Raw genomic sequence first — 21,519 nt, 5'->3', positions numbered from 1 at the left:
TATACCCTATTCCAGTCACACACCAAACGAAAAACTGCCCCCTATCCCATCCGTAGTATTAGTAGTGCTGAGTGAGGAGCTGGACTTTCAGCCCTACCCAGCAGCAACAAGTCATGGGAAGTCATCCCTTTGCTTCCTCCACTAGCATGGTATCCATGAAGCCAAACAGGGAACTGAACTTCTACTTCCACCCATCAACAGAGGCAGAAGACAGCAGTGAGAAACAGCACTAGCTGTCACTCTACAGTCTGGGATACTGTCAGTGGGACTCAGAACAGGGCTTACTTCCACTCCCACCCAGCAGCCAAAAAAAGTGAAACAAAGCAGTGTGAAGTAGTACGAGTCAGCATTCAGTTTTTCATTGCCCACTCCCCACGGTGTTGGCAGGACCCACTGGGGAGTAAAACTTCCACTCTCACCAGGTAGCAACAAGGCACAAGAAGGTGGAATAAGGTGGTGGTGAAACAGTTATAGCTAACACTTTGCTCCTCCTGGTCTCCCGGTGTCAAAAGAACTCAATAAAGTGCTGAATTTACACTCCCATCTGTCAGCAGCAAGGAGAAGTAAGGCAGTACAACTGGGCATTCCACTTTTGCTGGGGTGATGTCAGCAGAGCCCAGTGGGGAACTACATATCTAACCCCATCTGGAACTGCATACTATACCTAAACAGGGTGGCTGCCTACAAAAAATATATATATATATATATATTAAAAAGGATTCATAGTCTCACAACATAATAACCCAAATGTTTAGGGTACAATAAAAAATCACTTTATATCAAGAACCAGAATAATCTCAACTTGACTGAGAAAAAGACAACCACCGGACACCAAATAGAACAGATGTTGTGATTATCTGAGAAGGATTTTAAAACGGCCATCATAAAAATGCTGCATAGAGCAATTACAAACACACTTAAATTTTTAAAATAGAAAGCAAAGAAACAGAAGACAGAAGATATAAAAAAGAATCAATTGGAAATTTTATAACAGAAAAACAGTAATCAAAAATGTTAAAACTCATTAGGTGGACTGAATGATAGAATAAATATGACAGGAAAGCACTAATGAATCTGAAGATGAAAAAATAGAAAATAACCCATTTGAACAACCATCATTACAAAAAAAAACACCCTGATAAACAGAGCCCCAAGAACCTGTGAGACAATAAAAGACAGAAAATTTGTATAATCAGAGTCCTAGAAAAAGAGGAGAAAGGGTGGGGGGCTAAAATGCATTTGAGTAAATAATTGCTGAACTTCCCACATTTGTTGAAAAACATAAGCCCACAGGCTGAAGAAGCTGAGAAAACCTCAAACAGAATAAACTTAAAGAAACACATGCCACTACATACCATAATAAACTTAAAACTAAAGAAAACAAAAATCTTGAAACTGGTTAGAGAGAAATGTAATATTACCTATAAAGGAAATGATTCAAATGACAGTGAATTTCTCATCAGAAACCATGGACACCTAAAGAAAGTAGCACAATCTTTTCCAAATGCTAAAAGAAAAAGAACTACCAATCCAGAATTCTATTCCCAGTGAAAATATTCTTCAGAAATAAAGGTGACATCAAGATGCTCTCAGATAAAGGACACTAAAAATTTGTCACCAGTAGACTTACCTTGAAAGAATGGCCAAAAGAAGTTATTAGGATAAAAATGATAAAAGGAGAAATGCTGAAACATTAGAAATTTTAAAAAGAATAAGAATAAAAATATGGGTAAATAGACTATCTTAAAAAACAAAAACAAAAACCTTGAAAGGTGAACCTCCTCCAAGTTCTCTGCATTTGGATCTGATAAGACAGGAATGACCAGTCTAAGGTTCTTGATTGGCTCTCAAAGCAGTTTCAGAAATATTAATACACGAAATTCCTGTACAGGGAAGGGTACTAAAGAGATTAGTGAGTCCGTCCATCCTGTATCTCTCTTTTTTTTTTTTTTTTTTTTTCTGAGACGGAGTCTTGCTCTGTCACCCAGGCTGGAGTGCAGTGGCGTGATCTCTGCTCACTGCAAGCTCCGCCTCCCGGGTTCACACCATTCTCCTGCCTCAGCCTCCCCAGTAGCTGGGACTACAGGTGCCAGCCAACACGCCCGGCTGATTTTTTGTACTTTTAGTAGAGACGGGGTTTCACCATGTTAACCAGGATGGTCTCTATCTCCTGACCTCGTGATCCACCCGCCTCGGCCTCCCAAAATGCTGGGATTACTGGCGTGAGCCACCGCGCCCGGCCCAACCTGTATCTCTTAATCCTCCTACATTCAATTCTACAATAATGAGTTCTATTCCCCAGTCTGCTTCATTATGATGTTAGAATCATAAAACCTCTAGATTTTAAGGGGCTGCTACCCATGTTCCTTTCTCTCCATTTATCTTAGTTAGCATATTCCTGAGAGGCACTGCTAAGGTTCAGAGAAGGTGGGAGAGCTTATCACAAGTCACGTGAGCTGGTCCTCAAGAAAGGACAGCATATGGAACATAACTTTCCCATTGTCTCTTATTTTTGGATTACACATGAAAACCAGGTATCACGTGTGAAAAGTGTACCTGTATTCCAAACAAAAGTATTAAATACATCCACGCAAGACTTTGTAAGCAGAGAACTTCTTAAAAAAACAGCACATAGGAGACAAGCCTAAAGATGCCTAAAAGGGGAATAATATGATACAAGGGACTTCATAGTGGTCAATGCCATGACATTTACTGGTAACTTATTTCCCAGCCCTGGGTTCCCTTCATCAGTTGTTCATCATTGGCTTCAGTGAAGACTGCCTTCCAGGCTTAATAATATGTGATGTGAAGGCAGAAGGTGGTCTTGCATGGAGCCTCGAGACACTAAAATTCTGAAATGGGGCATCACTCAGGTACTTCCTCTCTGACACACAAAATTCTCATATCTATACTTTGGATAATAACATACTCCCTCACATGCTTGTTAGGAGGGTGTAATGAGATAAAACTTTCTAAAGCAGTTAGTTCCAAACATGTTCTATGTGCTCTCACCAAGGGAGGATGTTACCACCATGTTATAAAGAGACATAATAATGTCCTTAAATTAACAAATATGGGCTGGGCACAGTGGCTCATGCCTGTAGTCCCACCATGTTGGCAGACAAAGGTGGACAAATTGCTTGAGCCCAGGAGTTTGAGACCAAGCTGGGCAACATGGTGAAACCCCATCTTTACAAAAAAAATTCAAAAATGAGTCAAGAGTGGTGATACAACCTGTAGTCCCAGCTACTCAGGGGGCTAAGGCAGGAGGATCACTTGAGCCCAACAGATTGAGGCTGCAATGAGCTGTATAGTGCCACTGCACTCCAGCCCAGGTGACAGAGCAAAACTCCATCTCCAAAAAATAAAAAAATAAAAAATAAAAACAAATATGTTTGGTCACACTCTGTTAAAGAAATAAAATGTAATGCCTTTAAAAAAGTTATTGACGCATAGAAATAAAACTTTTTAAAAAGGAGAAATGGGGCTGGGCGTGGTGGCTCACGCCTGTAATCCTAACACTTTGGGAGGCCGAGGCAGGTGGACTGCCTGTGCTCAGGAGTTCGAGACCAGCCTGAGCAAGATGGTGAAACCCCATCTCTACTAAAACACAAAAAATTAGCCAGGCATGGCAGCGTGCGCCTGTAATCCCAGCTACTCAGGAGGCTGAGACAGGAGAATCGCTTGAACCTAGGAGGCAGAGGTTGCAGTGAGCCGAGATCACACCACTGCACCCTAGCCTGGGCGACAGAGCAAGACTCCGTCTCAAAAAAAAAAAAGAGAGAGAGAGAAATGAGAAAGAATGTTTTACTCACAAATGGCAGGCCATAGCTTATCTAAAATTGAGTTTTTTCCAAAAAGACTAAACAGAAGAACAGGAGTAAATGGGAATATAAGGCATAGTCTGGGAATTGTATGATAGGGTCCAAGAATGAGTAAATAAAGAAAAAAGCTAGAAGGCTGCTGATAAACTGGAAGAAAAGAGAGACAGTAAATAAACCCACTGGAGATTTAAGATTAGCAGACACAGTAAATGAGAGGACAGGAAATCCTGTTAGGAGAAAAATATAATGGATTGGACTCTATTACTTTTGAAAAATAACAATTGTAGAGATTCACAAAATCCTGGTTTGGGGAAGTGACTGAAATTACATAAAGGTTTGGGTCTCACGTTATTAAGAAGGTCCAGAAATGCAAAGTTAGGTTCACTGGGTGATCAGTATGACCACTAACATCTCCTAGAAATATATTAAGAGTCGGAATAAAATCTTCATGCAAGGTTTTAAAGAATAAAATGATGTACATGGGGCCATAAATGAGAGGTAAGTAAATGAACTCAGGAAAAAAACATGGAACTATTTTTTAAAGCCTAATACTTCAGCATATAACTGTGGCTAAAATTTAAACATTCATTCAACTAATATTTGAGTGCCCACTTTGCACCAGGCACAGTTCTAGGCATTTGAGGATATAGTGGCAAACAAGATAGATAAGCTACTCCCAAAAAGCTTCCACTCGAGTGGTAGAAGCAGACAATAATAAAGATAAATAAGTGTATAATATGGTAACAGAAAAATAAAGCAGGAAAAAATGCATTTTAGGGAAAGCAACACTGAAAATGTGTCTCTGAATAAATAAAAGGGGGACAGACGTGGTAGTTCATGCCTGTAATCCCAGCACTTTGGGAGATCGAGGTGGGAAGATCGCTTGAGCTCAGGAGTTTGAGACCAGCCTGAGCAATATAGTGAGACCCCATCTCTTAAAAATAAATAAATAAATAAAAATAAACAAAGAAAGGGGGCCATTCTCTTCTTTATATTCAACTTCTTCACAGCAGTACTCCTCAACACACACAGAAACACAATTCTTTTTCAATGTAACATCAGACAGAACTGTTATACTTTTTAAAAACTGGCTTCTAGAAAACACCTTTAAGATTTCCATAATAACCTAAAAATATAGTGAAGAACCTTAATACAAATGGTGTCATGATAAAACTATAGTCCATGTATTTCAGTTAAAAGATATAGAAAACCAAATACTCTGTGTTCTCACTAAATGTTGAGAACTCATGAACACAAAGAAGGGAACAACAGACACGGGGCCTACTTAAGGGCAGAGGGTAGGAGGAAGGAGAGGGGCAGAAAAAATAACTATTGGGTACTAGGCTTAGTATCTGGGTGACAAAATAATCTGTACAACAAGCCCCTGTGGCACGAGTTTATCTATATAACAAACCTGCATATGTACCCCCAAACCTAATTTAAACGTTTAAAAAAAGATATGGTTTATTACTGAAGGTAATAACCCACAACACTTGAATTGTCCATTGTTTTGAATTTTCTGTAGGCAGTCTTCAGAACACTTCATTTAATCTGGATCTCATAAGAAAAATGATCTAAAACCACAGTATCTTTGATATGCCCAAAATATCTAGTTAGTATTCTAGAGCTTTGCTATCAAACTATTACTTTTTTATTATTGCTATTTCTAAAATTTTTTTAAAGACAAAGTGACAGTAATCCCTTCATGGCCTTGTAAATAAAATCTTTTGATAATGCTTCCAGTTTAACTCTGAATATTACCTTTTTAAGCACAGCCCTTGGATCTTGACTTTTTGCCCTTTTATATATTTTACACTATGTGCTTTCATAATAAATTGCCCAATTCTTTGAGGAGGAAGGTCAAAGTATACACAGCCTTTCGTACCAAACTAACTTTACTATCAAAAAAATACTGTTGTAAAAAAGAACTTGACCAACTAGAAAACAAAAATTTTTAAAAAACACAATAGCTTCCAAACATGAAATTCTTAGGTATAAATCTAACAACACATGTATAGAATCTGTAAGCCCAAAATAACAAAACGTTGATAAAAGAAACCAGAGAAAATTTAAATAAATGGAGTTCACAAATTAAAGGCTCAATGTAGTAAAGATGTCAATTCTCCCCATATTGATCTACAGATTTAATGCAATTCCAATCAAAATCACAGCAGGGCTTTTGTGCACACAGACAAGCTGTTTGTAAAATATACATGGAAAAGCAGCCAGGCGCAGTGGCTCACTCCTGTAATCCCAGCACTTTGAGAGGCCAAGGCAGGTGGATCACTTGAGGTCAGGAGTTCGAGACCAGCCTGGTCAACATAGTGAAACCTCATCTCTACTAAAAATACAAAAATTAGCCGAGTGTGGTGGCGGGTGCCTATAATCCCAGCTCCTCGGGAGGCTGAGGCACAAGAATCATTTGAACCCGGGAGGCAGAGGTTGCAGTGAGCCAAGATTGTGCCAGTACACTCCAGCCTGGGTGACAGAGTGAGACTGCGTCTTAAAGACAAACTGCCCCATAAAGCTTCTTGGCGCTCCCCTCAAACGTCTCCGTGCTGTCCACCCTTCCCCCAAGCCTCTTTACATTTCTAAGCCCTTATCTAGGCACCACAGTGAAGCCAGCAGACTTCACTTATCAGACCTTGCTGGATAAACAAACCCCAATTACGAACCATCTGGACCGCACAGCGGGAGGTCGTTGGAAGAATAAACAAACTTTACCTACACCTTCCTGAAAGTTCTGCTACCACAAATGTCACAAGGTGATATGTGACAAAATTAACCAGCAAACAACCCTGGAATGCGGCCACACCAAAGAACTCCCTCAAACTCCCTTCTCCAATATAAACCCCTCATTTTGTAAACTCAGGGCTGCCTCCTCTGAGTGAGGTGAAGCAGCCCCTCAGGTTCAATAAACTTACGCGCCTGACTTTAGGTCTATTTTTCCTTTCTCTCGGCTGACCTTACACGTCTCAATAAAATAAAATAAGGTAAGATGTAAAATATAAAATAAAATATATACAAAAAAGGAAAGATAGCTGAATAGCTAAAATCTGAAAAAGAATCATACTACCCAATTTTAAGACATACTATAAAGATACAGTAACCAAGACAGTATGATGTTGGTAAACGGATAGACACACAGATCAACAGCAGAAAGAGTCCACAAACAGACTCACACAAAAATGGCCGATTTATTTCTGACAAAGATACAAAGACAATTCAACAGAGAATAACACTCTCTTAAAAAAATGGTGTTGTAAAATTGGACATCCATATGCAAAAACATGAACCCTGACATAAACCTCCCACCTTACACAAAAATTACATCCAAAGAGATCTCAGCTCTAAATGTAAACCATACAACTATAGAGCTTTTAGAAGAAAATATAAGAAAAAATATTCAAGTCTTTGGGTTATGCGAAGAGTTCTTATACACAACACTAAAAGCATGATACATAAAAAGAAAACAATAATAAATTAAACTTCAAAATTAAAACCCTTTTCTCTGCAAAAGACACTGAAAAGAAAATAAAAAGAAAAGCTACAGGCCAGAAAAAAATCATTGCAAATGACATCTGATAAAGGACTTCTATCTAGAATGTATTTATGAATGCCCAAAACTCTACAGCAATAAAACAAAAATCCAATTAAAAAACAGGCAAAAGACAGACACTTCACCAAAGAAAATACAGAAAGCCAATAATAAACAAACTAAAAGATGCTCAACATCATTATCTATTAGAGAAATTAAAACCACAATGAAACACTACCACACACCTATGAGAATGGCTAAAATAGAAGATAATAACAATACGAGGTGCCGACAATGATGCTGAACTGAAACTTTCATAAATTGCAGGTGAAAATCAAAAACAGTACAGCCACTCTGGAAAACAGTTTGGCAGGTCCTTAAAGAATAATACATACGATTACAATCTGACCCAGAAATTTCACTCCTGGGTAATTACCATAGAGAAACAAAAACTTACGTTCACATAAAAACCTATACACACATGTTCACAGTAGCTTTATCTGCAATAGTCAGACACTGGAAACAATGCAAATGTTCTGCAACAGGTGAACAAACAAATTTGGTATGTACATACAACAGAGCACTATTCAGAAACAAAAAAGGGAAAAACTACATTAGACAACTTGAATGAATCACAAAAGATGATTCACATGCTGAATGAAAGAAGCTAGACTCACAAAATTATATACTGTATGATACCACTAATATGATATTATTTTTATTTATATTTTTTTCTATTTTTTCTTTTTTTTATATACTTTAAGTTCTGGGATACACGTGAAGAACGTGCAGGCTTGCTACATAGGTATACATGTGCCATGGTGGTTTGCTGCACCCATCAAACCATAATCTACATTAGGTATTTCTCCTAATGCTATCCCTCCCCTAGACCCCCACTCCCCAACAGGCCCCACTGTGTGATGTTCCCCTCCCTGTGTCCATATGTTCTCATTGTTCAACTTATGAGTGAGAACATGTTCACTTATGAGTGAGAACATGAGGTATTTGGTTTTCTGTTCCTGTGTTAGTTTGCTGAGAATGATGGCTTCCACCTTCACCCATGTCCCTGCAAAGGATATGAACTCATCATTTTTTTAAGGGTGCACAGTATTGCATGGTGTATATGTGCCACATTTTCTTTATCCAGTCTATCACTGATGGGTATTTGGGTTGGTTCCAAGTCTTTGCTATTGTGAACAATGCTGCAATAAACTTAAGTGTGCATGTCTTTATAGTACAATGATTTATAATCCTTTGGGTATATACCCAGTAATGCGATTGCTGGGTCAAATGGTATTTCTGGTTCTAGATGCCTGAGGAATCGCTACACTATTTTCCATAATGGCCGAACTAATTTACACTCCCACCAACAATGTAAAGCGTTCCTATTTCTCCACATCCTCTCCAGCATCTGTTGTTTCCTGACTTTTCAAAGAGTGCCATTCTAAGTGGCATGAGATGGTATCTCATCGTGGTTTTGATTTACATTTCTCTAATGACCAGTGATGATGAGCTTTTTTCATATGCTTGTTGGCCACATAAATGTCTTCTTTTGAGAAGTGTCGGTTTATATCCTTTGCCCACTTTTTGATGGGGTTGTTTTCTTTTTGTAAATGTGTTTCAGTTCTTTGTAGATTATGGATACTAGACCTTTGTCAGATGGGTAGATTGCAAAAATTTTCTCCCATTCTGTAGGTTACCTGTTCACTCTGATGTGTTCACTTCTGCTGTGCAGAAGCTCTTTAGTTTAATTAGATCCCATTTGTCAATTTTGGCATTTGTTGCCAGTGCTTTTGGTGTTTTAGTCATGAAGTCTTTGCCCATGCCTATGTCCTAAATGGTATTACCTAGGTTTTCTTCTAGGGCTTTTATGGTTTTAGGTCTTAAGTCTTTAATGCATCTTGAGTTAACTTTTGTATACGGTGTAAGGAAGGGGTCCAGTTTCAGTTTTCTGCATATGGCTAGCCAGTTTTCCCAACACCATTTATTAAATAGGGAATCCTTTCCCCATTGCTTGCTTCTGTCAGGTTTGTCAAAGATCAGATGGTTGTAGATACTTCTGAGGCATTACTTCTGTGGCCTCTGTTTTGTTCCATTGGTCTATATATCTATTTTGGTACCGGTACCATGCTATTTTGGTTACTGTAGCCTTGTACTATAGTTTGAAGTCAGGTAGCATGATGCCTCCAGCTTTGTTCTTTCTGCTTAGGATTGTCTTGGCTATACGGGCTTTTTGGTTCCACATGAAATTTAAAGTAGTTTTTTCTAATTCTGTGAAGAAAGTTAATGGTGGCTTGATGGGGATAGCACTGAATCTACATATTACTTTGAGTAGTATGGCCCTTTTCATGATACTGATTCTCCCTATCCATGAGCATGGAATTTGTTTTCCATTTTTTTGTGTCCTCTCTTATTTCCTTGAGCAGTGGTTTGTAATTCTTCTTGAAGAGGTCCTTCACATCCCTTGCTAGCTGTATTCCTAAGTATCTTACTCTCTTTGTAGCAATTGTGAATGGGAGTTCACTCATGATTTGGCTCTTTGTCTGTTACGGGTGTATAAGAATGTTTGTGAGTTTTGCACACTGATTTTGTATCCTGAGACTTTGCTGAAGTTGCTTATCAGCTTAAGGAGATTTTGGGCTGAGATGATGGGATTTTCTAAATATACAATCATGTCATCTGCACACAGACAGACTTTGACTGTCTCTCTTCCTATTTGAATACCCTTTCTTTCTCTTGCCTGATTGCCCTGATCAGAACTTGCAATAGTATGTTAAATAGGAGTGGTGAGAGAGGGCATCCCTGTCTTGTGCCAGTTTTCAAGGGAATGCTTCCAGTTTTTGCCCATTCAGTAAGATATTAGCTGTGGGTGTGTCATGAATACCTTTTATTATTTTGAAATACATTCCATCAATACCTAGTTTATTGAGAGTTTTTAGCATGAAGGGTGTTGAATTTTATCAAAGGCTTTTTCTTGCATCTATTGAGGTAATCATGTGGTTTTTGTTTTTGGTTCTGTTTATGTGATGCATTATGTTTACTGATTTGCATATGTTGAACCAGCCTTGCATCCCAGGGATGAAGCTGACTTGATTGTTGTGGATAAGCTTTTTGATGTGCTGCTGAATTCAGTTTGCCAGTATTTTATTGAGGATTTTTGCATCAATGTTCATCAGGGATATTGGCCTGAAATTTTCTTTTTTTGTTGTGTCTCTGGCACGTTTTGGTACCAGGATGATGCCGGCCTCATAAAATGAGTTAGGGAGGATTCCCTCTTTTTCTACTGTTTGGAACAGTTTCAGAAAGAATGGTACTAGCTCCTCTTTGTACCTCTGGTGGAATTCGACTGTGTATCTGTCTGGTCCTGGACTTTTTTTGGTTGGTAGGCTATTAATAACTGCCTCAATTTCAGAACTTATTGTTGGTCTATTCAGGGATTCGACTTCTTGCTGATTTAGTCTTGGGAGGGTGTATGTGTCCAGGAATTTTTCCATTTCTTCTAGATTTTCTAGTTGATTTGCATAGAGGTGTTTATTGCATTCTGTGACGGTAGCTTGGATTTCTGTGGGATCAGTGGTGATTTCTGCTTTATCATTTTTTATTGTGTCTATTTGATTCTTCTTTATTAGTCTGGCTAGTGGTCTATCTATTTTGTTAATCTTTTCAAGAAACCAGCTCCTGGATTCATTGATTTTTTGAAGGGTTTTTCATGTCTCCAGCTCCTGCAGTTCTGCCCTGATCTTAATTATTTCTTGTCTTCTACTAGCTTTTGAATTTGTTTGTTCTTGCTTCTGTAGATCTTTTAATTGTGATGTTAGGGTGTCGATTTTAGATCTTTCCCGCTTTCTCCTGTGGGCATTTAGTGCTATAAATTTCCCTCTAAACACTGCTTTAGCTGTGTCCCAGAGATTCTGGTACATTGTGTCTTTGTTCTCATTGGTTTCAAAGAACTTATTTATTTCTGCCTTAATTTTGTTAATTACCCAGTAGTCATTCAGGAGCAGGTTGTTCAGTTTCCATGTAGTTGTGCAGTTTTGAGTTAGTTTCTTAATCCTGAGTTCTAATTTGATTGCACTGTGGTCTGAGAGACCATTAAGATTTCCATTCTTTTGCATTTGCTGAGGAGTGTTTTACTTCCAATAATGTGGTCAATTTCTGAATAAGTGTTATGTGGTGCTGAAAAGAATGTATACGCTGTTGATTTGGGGTGGAGAGTTCTGTAGGTGTCTATTAGGTCCACTTGGTCCAGAGCTAAGTTCAAGTCCTGAATATCCTTGTTAATTTTCTGTCTCGTTGATCTGTCTAATATTGACGGTGGGGTGTTAAAGTCTCCCACTATTATTGTGTGGGAGTCTAAGTCTCTTTGTAGGTCTCTAAGATCTTGCTTTATGAATCTTGGTGCTCTTGTATTGGGTGCATATAATATTTAGGATAGTTAGCTCTTCTTGTTGCGTTGATCCCTTTTCCATTATGTAATGCCCTTCTTACACTTTCTTGATCTTTGTTGGTTAAAATTCTGTTTTATCAGAGACTAGGATTGCAATCCCTGCTTTTTTTTTTGCTTTCCATTATCTTGGTAAATATTCCTCCATCCCTTTATTTTGAGCCTATGTGTGTCTTTGTATGTGAGATGAGTCTCCTGAATACAGCACACTGATGGGTCTTGATTCTTTATCCAATTTGCCAGTCTGTGTCTTTTAATTGGGGCATTTAGCCCATTTACATTTAAGGTTCATATTGCTATGTGTGAGACATTCTTAAAAGCACAAAACACAGTGATAAAAGGTCAGTGGTTGCCAGCGTTTAAGGGTTGGGAGGAGGCTGTGACTACAAAGGGATGGCACACAGGAATTTTCAGGGTTATGGAACTGTTCTGCATCCTGGCTGTGGCAGTGGTTATTACACTAATCTATAGGTGTGTTAAAATTCATAGAATGTATACAAAAAAAAGTCCATTGTACAAGTTAATCTAAAAATAAAGTTTTTAAAGGACTTAATCAACAATACATAAGAGTAGAAAATCAGACAATATATTTACTCATGGAGCTTTTTACTATCATTTAAAGGAAATAGGTGGAATAAAAACTGCTATTACCACACTTATGGGATATCTTATGAGTCCTCCCAGAAACAAAAAAAAAAACTTGATATGTTTACTTTCACCCTTCTGATATAAAGAATAGATTACTGAAGCATTGATGAAAATCATGCTAGTTTATTTCCATGAGGGTGCTGGTTCAATGAAACCAGACAACTTTAAATATACATGCAGGCATAGGGCTAAAGTCATGAGAACAGTATGGGGGAACCACCCCGTAATTCAAATATCTCCACCTGGGCCTGCCCTTGACACACAGGAATTATTAAAATTCAAGGTGAGATTTGGGTGGGGACACAGCTAAACCATTATCATTCCACCCCAGGCCCCTTCCAAATCTCATGTCTTCACATTTCAAAAACAATCATGCCTTCTCAACAGTCCCCCAAAGTTTTAACTCATTTAAGCATTAAGTCAAAAGTCCACAGTCCAAAGTCTCATCTGAAATAAGGCAAGTTCCTTCTGCCTATGAGCCTGTAAAATCAACAGCAAGTTAGTTACTTCCTTGATACAATGGGGTACAGGCATTGGGTAAATACACCTGTTCCAAATGGGAGAAATTGGCCAAAACAAAGGGGCTACAGGCCTCATGCAAATTCAAAATCCAGCAGGGCAGTCAAATCTTAAAGCTCCAAAATGATCTCCTTTGACTCCATGTCTCACATCCAGGTCACACTGATGCAAGAGTGGGCTCCCACAGCCTTGGGCAGCTCTGCCCCAGTGGCTTTGCAGGCTACAGCCCCGCTTCTGGCTGCTTTCATGGGCTGGCATTGAGTGTCTGTTGCCTCTCCAGGCACACAGTGTGATCTGTCAGTGGATCTACCATTCTGGGGTCTGGAGGACTGTGGCCCTCTTCTCACAGCTCTACTAGGCAGTACACCAGTTGGGGCTCTGTGTGGGAGCCCCAACCCCTCATTTCCGTTTTGCACTGTCTTAGCAGAGTATCTTCATAAGGGCTCCACCCCTGCAGAAAACTTCTGCCTGGACATCCAGGCATTTCCATACATCCTCTGAAATCTAGGTGGAAGTTCCCAAACCACCATTCTTGACTTCTGTGCACCTTCAGGCTCAAACCACATGGAAGCTAACAAGGCTTGGGGCTTGCACCCTCTAAAGCCATGGCCTGAGCTGTACCTTGGCCCCTTTTAGCCATGACTGGAGCAGGTGGGACACAGGGCACCATGTCTGAAGGCTGCACACAGCAGGGGGACCGTGGGCCCAGCCCATGAAACCATTTTTTCCTCCTAGGCCTCTGTGCCTGTGATGGGAAGGGCTGCTGCGAAGCTTTCTGACATGCCCTGGAGATACTTTCCCCATTGTCCTAGCGATTAACATTCAGCTACTTGTTACTTATGCAAATTCCTGCAGCTGGCTTGAGTTTCTCCCAGGAAACGGGTTTTCTTTTCTACCACATCATCAGGCTCCAAATTTTCCTAACTTTTATGCTCTGCTTCCCTTTTAAACATAAGTTCCAATTCCAAACCATATCTTTGTGATTACACAAAACAATGCTTTTAAAAGCACCCAAGTCACCTCTTGAACACTTTGCTGCTTAGAAATTTCTTCCACCAGATGCTCTAAATCATCTCTCTCAAGCTCAAAGTTTCACCAATCTCTAGGACAGGGGCAAAATGCCACCAATCTCTTTGCTAAAACATCAAGAGTCGCGTTTATTCTAGTTCCAACAAGTCCCTCATCTCCAGGTGAGACCACCTCAACCTGGACTTCACTGGCCATATCACTATCAGCATTTTGCTCAAAGCCATTCAACAAGTCTCTAGGAAGTTCCAAACTTTCCCACATCTTCCTGTCCTCTTCTGAGCCCTCCAACCTCTGCCCATGACGCAGTTCCAAAGCTGCTTCCACATTTTCGGGTATCTTTACAGCAGCATTCCACTCTCTGTACCAATTTACTGTACTGGTCCCTTCTCACACCACTAATAAAAGACATCCCCAAGACTGGGTAATTTATAAAGGAAAGAGGTTTAATTGACTCACAGTTCAGCATGACTGGGGATTCCTCAGGAAACTTACAATCATGGCAGAAGGGGAAGTAAACACATTCTTCTTCACATGGGGGCAGCAAGAAGTGCCAAGCAAAAGGGAAAATGCCCCTTATGAAATCATCAGATCTTGTGAGACTTACTTCCACAAGAACTGCATGGGGGAAACTACCCCCATGATTCAATTATCTCCACCTGACCCCACCCTTGAAACATGGGGATTACAATTCAATGTGAGATTTGGGTGGAGACACAGCCAAACCTTATCATCTGGCTTCTTTCTCTTGGCAGAATTATTTTAAGACTCACCTATCTTACTGAGTTATATTTATAGTTCAATCGTTTTATTCCTGAGTAGTATTCCAATGGATAGACACATACATAGCAGACTGTTTTTCCATTCATCTGTTGATGGACTTTGAGTTGTTTCTAGTTTTCATCTATTACACATAAATTCTTTCAATATTTACATACAAATCTTTGTGTGGACATATGCTTTCATTTCTCTTGGCTAAATATCTAGAAGTGGAATTGCTGGGTCATAGGGTAGGAATATGTTCAACCTTTTAACAAACTGCCAAATGTTTTTCAAAGTGGTTGTTCCCTTTACATTCCCCTGGGCAATATATATGAGTTCTAGGTACAACAGATCTAAGCAACCGTTGGTACGATCTTTTTAATTTTATACATTATAGTGAGTAGTATAGTGGTATCTCATTTTGGTTTTAATCTGTAGTTCCCTAATGACAAATGGTGTTCAGAGCATCTTTCACATGCTTACATGCCATGTGGACACCTTCTTTGGTAAAGTACCTGTTCAAATATTTTGCCCATTTCTTAACTGGGCAGTCTTCTTAGTATTGATTGTAGGAGCTCTTGATAATCTGGATATAATATTTTTGTCAGATATATGTTTTGCAAATATTTTCTCCTAGTCTGTAGCTTGCCTTTCATTTTTGTGACAATGTCTTTAGAAGAGCAAGGTTTTCCATTTTGATGAAATCCAAATGATTTTTTTCTTTTAGAGTTGATGTTTTCTGTGTCCTACTTAAGAAATCTTTGCCAAATCGAAAGTCAAATATTTCATCCTATGTTTTCTTCTATAAGTTTTAGACTCACGTTTTACATTTAGGTCTGATACACATTTTGAGCTAATTTTTGTGCATGGTATAAGAAATGAATCAAAATTTATTCTCTACATATGGTATGAGTTGGCCTGTATCATTTTTGTTGAAGATTCTCCTTTTACCCAGAGAACTGCCTTGGCATCTTTGTCAAAAGCCAGTTATCATACATGTGCAGTCTATTTATATTGTCTCTATTCTGCTCCATTCATCTGGACATCTAACTTCACAGCAGTATCACTTGTGTTTTTAGAAACAGGGTCCTGCTCTGTAGCCTAGGCTGGAGTGCAGTGGAGCAGTCATAGCTTACTGTAGCCTTAAACTCCTGGACTCCAACAATCTTTCTGTCTCAGCCTACCAAGGAGCTAGAACCACAGACACGCCATTACACCCAGCTAATTTCTATTTTTTGTAGAGACAGGGGGTGCTCACTTGTGTTGCCTAGGCTAGTCTTCAACTCCTGGCATTAAGCAATCCTCCTGCATCAGCCTCCCTAAGTGCTGGGATTACAGTTTTGAACCACCACTCTAGGCCTACATTGTCTTAATTTCCTAGAATCTATTAAGTCATAAAATCAGGTAGTTTGGGTCCTTCAATTTTGTTCTTTTTCAAACTTGTTTTGGCTATCTCAGATCCTCTCCATTTTTATATTAATTGTAAAATCTAATTGTCAATTTCTGAAAAAATAAGCAAAATCTACCAGCAATTTTGTTGAAATTGCATCGAATCTATAAGCCAAGAACAACTGATATCCATACAATGTCTTCTAGTCCATGAGCATGGTGTATCGCTCCATTTATTTATGTCTTCTTGAGTTTCTCTGAACAATGCTTTGTAGTTTTAATAGTGTGCAACTCTTGCACATCTTTTACTAAATTTACCCCTACAAATTCCATATTTTAATACTTTTGTAAATGATTTTTAAATTTTAATTTCCTATTATTTGTTGCTTATATAAAAACACAATTATATTGAAATTAAAACTGCTATCTTTCTAAACTCATTTGTTCTAGTAGCTTTTATGTACATTCTCAAAGATTTTCTACATAATTAAGCATGTCATCTGCAAATAAAGACAGCTTTATTTCTTCATTTTCAAACTCTATGACTTTTATTTCTTTTTTTGACCTTATTACACTGATTGGAACAGAGATCAGCAAACTATATGGCCTCTGCACCAAACTGATTCCACTACTTGTTTTTGTACAGCTGCAAGCCAAGGGTAGTTTTCACATTTTTAAATGTTTAATAGCAAACTGAAGGAATACTATTTCATGCACATGCATACTACATGAAATTCAAATTTCAATATCCATAAATAAAGTACTACTGGAAAAGAGCCACACTGATTTGTTTACATACTGTCTATGGCTGCTTTCATGCTATAGCAGCAGAACTCAGTACTTGCAACAGAGACCATCTGGTCCTTTACAGAAAATGCTTGCTGGCCCCTGGGCTGATAAGAATAGTCTTCCTTCTCTTAATACTTAATCCCTCTTAACTCTTGTTTTTCTAACAAGGAGATTATTTTTATTTATGTGATCAACAAAGATAAGGTTTTGTCACACTCAAGACTTTGGAAAAAGAGGCATTCTCTACGTAAAATAGCAGTACAACATGAAACAAGCTTTTTATTTTTTTGTCTTCCAACTTTTATTTTAGGTTCAAGGGGTACATGTGCAGGTTTGTTACATGGGTAAACAGTGTGTCATGGGAGTTTGGTGTACAGATAATTTTGTCACCCAGGTAATCAGCCTAATACCTAACAGGTAGTTTTTCAATCCTTACCTTTCTCCCAACCTCCACCCTCAAGTAGACCCCAGTGTCCCTTCTTTGTGTCCATATGTACTCAGTGTTTAGCTCCCACTTATAAGTGAGAACATGCAGTATTTGGCTTTCTGATCCACAGTAAATTCGCTTAGGATAATGGTCTCCAGCTCCATCCAACTTCTTAATTCTTAAACTATGGATGAGAAACAGCTATTTGGTCTACACTGGAAGCAGGAATATACCCAAGGCTTATTTAACATTTATTTTCCATATATGCATGAACTGCTTTCAGATTAATGTAGGACAAAATCATCTTCACTGTTAATCTTGACTTCAACAGAACCAAGACAATAGCATGATACCTAAAATATACATCAAGCCAATTTGTAGAAAGTACACAATAGGTAATAGGAAGCATATCAATAGTTTTTGTTAAAACTTAAAGTTCTACTAAAAGTCTGCTGCTTTTTATTTTTAAGGAGAATCACTATAAAATCATCACTTTATATACTGAAATATATATATATATGATCTATTTCAACAAAAAAATAACATACCCATAATAAGAGGCAGCCATAAGCATATAAGTCTGAACCTGGAGAAGCAGGTTTTCCCATTTTCAACTCAGGTGACATCAAACTCAAGTCACCAACCATCATGTTCACCGAGGCTCGCTGACTCTGCAAAAACAATATTTTACATATTTCAGATACAACACAGTTGAGGTGACTTTCTGTGAAGTACTCTGCATTTAATCAATACAAAAAACAAATTCATTTTAAATATTTCATTCCCTTGCTTTCAAATATTTTTACCAATTTCTGCTATTATAAATTGCTCTTAAAATCAGTCTAATAAATTAACTATGGGACTTTTTTTTACATTCACTTTGTAGACTTGAACAGATTTAATACTAACAACCACTTATTCTGTGATTAAACATTTGATACTCTTTTTAAAAAATAAATTTCACAAGAGTGAGCAGCAGTGCCATGTTCTAATTCTGAAAATTCTAAATAATTCATTTAAGAACTGAAATCCTACAAAGCACTTTCCTTCCTTACTGATCATTCTCTAAATATACCATTTCTAACATGTCAAAGATGATCAGTGACAATAGCATGAATCCTATATTCAGGCAGATCTTGGTTACAATTCCCCACTCTCCTATTTATTTGCTGTGGGACCGAGGGCTTTAACCTCTTTTTTGTCCATTTTTAAAATTTATTTTTAATTTTTATGGGTACATAGTAGGTGTAAACCTCTTTGAGCCTGAATTAATTTGTAAAATGGAAATAATGTCTACCTTACAGAGATACAATGCCTAGCATGTGTCACTAAGTGCTATCTTTTTTCTAGCTACGATTTTGATCCTTGCTTCTCAAAGTATGGTCCAAGGGCCAGGAGCTACAGCATTAACTGGTAGCTTGTTAGAAATGCAGATGATCCACTGCAGAAATGCTGAATATTAATTTGCATTTTAACATGAACCCCAGGTGAGTTGTATGCACTATAAGGCCTGAAAAGCAATGATCTTGACCTCAGACTACTTTTCAAATTTATCTTCCTGATAACCACTTCAATCTGAAAATTGCATGGAAAATGTAGCAAAAGGTGAGTTTGATCAATATTTCAGAATAAATATTTTTAACTGAAAATTAAAAACAATGTTTTGGGGAATAATAACAGATGACGAATGACTAAAGAGTAATTATTGTAGTCATATCTATAATTATGCAAATAGTATGCTCAAAAGGTAAACTAACCAGAACCCCTGAAGGTTGAGATCTTTCAAAATTCATAATTTAGTTATATTTCTTAGGATATCTTAATTTTGTTAAACTAATGTAATAAAGTAAATATTTCAGAAAATCAATCTGTATAAATCCTGTACAATCCAGCTTTTGATTACAGTTGCAGTTTCATTTTCTCATCTTTTTGAGCTACCATATCAAAACCATTAAGACTATATATACTCCAGTAGCATTACACTATGACTTGCAGATGACCAAAGTATAAAAGCATTATAACATATACTAGTCAAAGGGAATTGCTCAGATAATAAAAAATATTGGCAAGGATGTAGAGAAAACAAAATCCCTATACATTACTGGGAAGAATATAAAATGATGTAGCCACTTTGGAAAACAGTTTGGCTCCTCAAAAAGTAAAACAATGTAACCCAGTAATTCCACTCCCAAGAGAAATGAAAACATGTCCACACAAAAAATATTGTATGCTAAAGCTCATAGCAGCATTATTCATATAACCAATAAGTATAAACAACCAAATGTCCAGCAACTGATGAATATATAAACAAAATGTGGTGCATCCATACAATGAAATATAATTTGGCAATAAAAAGGAATGACATTTTGATACAGTCAATAACGTGGATGAACTCTGAAAACACTATGCTAAGTGAAATTAGCATAAAAGGCCACATATTGTATCATTCCATTTACATGAGATGTCCAAATAGGCAAATCCATAGAGACAGAAAGTGTATTCGTAGTTTCCAGGCTTGAGAAGAAGTGGGAAATTTGAGTGACTGCTAATCAGTATGGATTTTCTTTTTGGGAATGTTAATAATGTTCTGGAATTCAATACTGGTTATCACTGCACGACTTTGTGAATGTACTACAAACTATTAATGAATTGTATACATTATGTGAATTGTATCTCAATAAAGCTGTAATGTTTAGAAAAATAATTACTGATTTGGCCACTCCACATTGTATACATACTTCAAAACATCATGTTGTATATGATAAATATATACAATTTTTATTTCTCAATTAAAATAGAGAATTGTTTCCATTATAACGACAAAAAAATCACAACATGCTCTTAAATTGTGTGATTTTGCTATCTCTACAAACTGCCTATTCTGAGGTAATATGACACTGAATTAACAGCCATTAGAGGTGAATCAGGATTTAAACTAAAAAGTCCAAGGTTCCCCGGTTTCTAAAAATGCACATTATTAATCAAAAAACAGCAAAGTACGTATATGTAAATTGTATCTATAGACGGAGGGACACCAGTGGAGAGAGGTTTAGGAGATGGCCACCTAGTTTCCTTACATGTTTCCTAGCAATTAAATGTTTCCTAATGATGACAAAATTATTAATGTTGTCAATGCCATTGAGTATATAATGTCAGGTAGCTCCTAAGACTTATGGTTAAAATACACAATACTCCTGCTGTTCTAGCATCTAGCTGAGGGCAAATAGTTGCTTATACTACATGACACAGTTTAACTGAAGACAAAGATCCTATAATAAAGTATTATATTATATATAAGTGCTGAACTACTGCTTAATAATATTAAATAAAGTCTAGAACCTATTTGTAAAACCATGATATCTTACCACAGATTTGGTGAAGTCAAAATCTCCAACAATTCCTTGTTCACGGTTTAAAGCAAATACATTGTTCTGATGAAGTGATCCATGAATTATGTCAGCCTTATGCAATGTATGCAGACCCTGGGCAACACCTTTCATGACCTTTAAAGTTTCCTATAGATAAGTACACATAAAAGAAGTGAGGAAGTAGGCAAATCATTTTAATCTTGAAACTGTTCTCTAATTAAAAGACTGCTCTAGAAGTGAGTAAAGTTTCCTCGAAATGAACCATTAATAAGAATACAGCATAGAGAAAGACCAGATGAAGGCTTGATTTTGTAATGGTGATACCATGTGTGCCTGTGTGTGTTTGTGTGTGTGTGTGTGTGTGTGTGTGTGTGTGTGTGTGTGTACAATCATACCTTTTGGGCACCAGGGACCGGTTTCATGAAAGACAATTTTTCCATGGATGCAGGGGGTTGGTTTCAGGATCAAACTGTTCCACCTCAGATCACAGGCATTAGATTCTTACAAGGAGTGCGCAACCTAGATCCCTCACATGCACAGTTCACAATAGAGTTTATGCTCCTATGAGAATCTAATGCCTCTACTGATCTTACAGGAAGTGGAGCTCAGGCAGTAATGCTTGCTCACCTGCCACTCACCTCCTGCTGTGCCGCCCTGTTCTTAACAGGCCACAGACTGGTACCAGTCTGCGACCTGGGGTCTGAGGACACCTGTTCTATCATCTCAAAGAAGACTTGGATTACAAATACCAACCATGTAAAGTAGCTATAAGAGACTGAAACAGT

General features: G+C 37.8%; 1 protein-coding gene across 9 annotated transcripts in view, besides 1 other annotated feature; it reads right to left on the bottom strand.

Moving 5' to 3' along the window:
* Positions 1-21,519, bottom strand: part of STK31 (serine/threonine kinase 31) — a 122,432-nt gene that overhangs the window by 23,653 nt on the left and 77,260 nt on the right. For all 9 annotated transcript variants that reach the window (NR_048542.2, XM_011515452.4, XM_011515449.4 and 6 more), the window contains 2 exons: positions 20,732-20,881; positions 17,915-18,037 (listed from right to left, as the gene is read on the bottom strand). Coding sequence is in view for 8 of the 9 variants with exons in the window: in XM_011515452.4 (XP_011513754.2) it covers positions 17,915-18,037; positions 20,732-20,881 (273 nt within the window). In the remaining variant the exon portion in view is untranslated. The remainder of the gene's footprint in view (positions 1-17,914; positions 18,038-20,731; positions 20,882-21,519) is intronic.
* Positions 13,344-13,544: a silencer, noted in NCBI's record as "peak6439 fragment used in MPRA reporter construct". NCBI's record gives its function as "represses an SCP1 promoter by STARR-seq MPRAs in K562 erythroleukemia cells {active_cell/tissue: K562}" and the evidence as "EXISTENCE:reporter gene assay evidence [ECO:0000049][PMID:32103011]".

Source organism: Homo sapiens, chromosome 7 (genome assembly GCF_000001405.40).
Source record: "Homo sapiens chromosome 7, GRCh38.p14 Primary Assembly".
NCBI classification, from domain to species: domain Eukaryota; kingdom Metazoa; phylum Chordata; class Mammalia; order Primates; family Hominidae; genus Homo; species Homo sapiens.
This window is presented reverse-complemented; position numbering and strand designations above follow the sequence as displayed.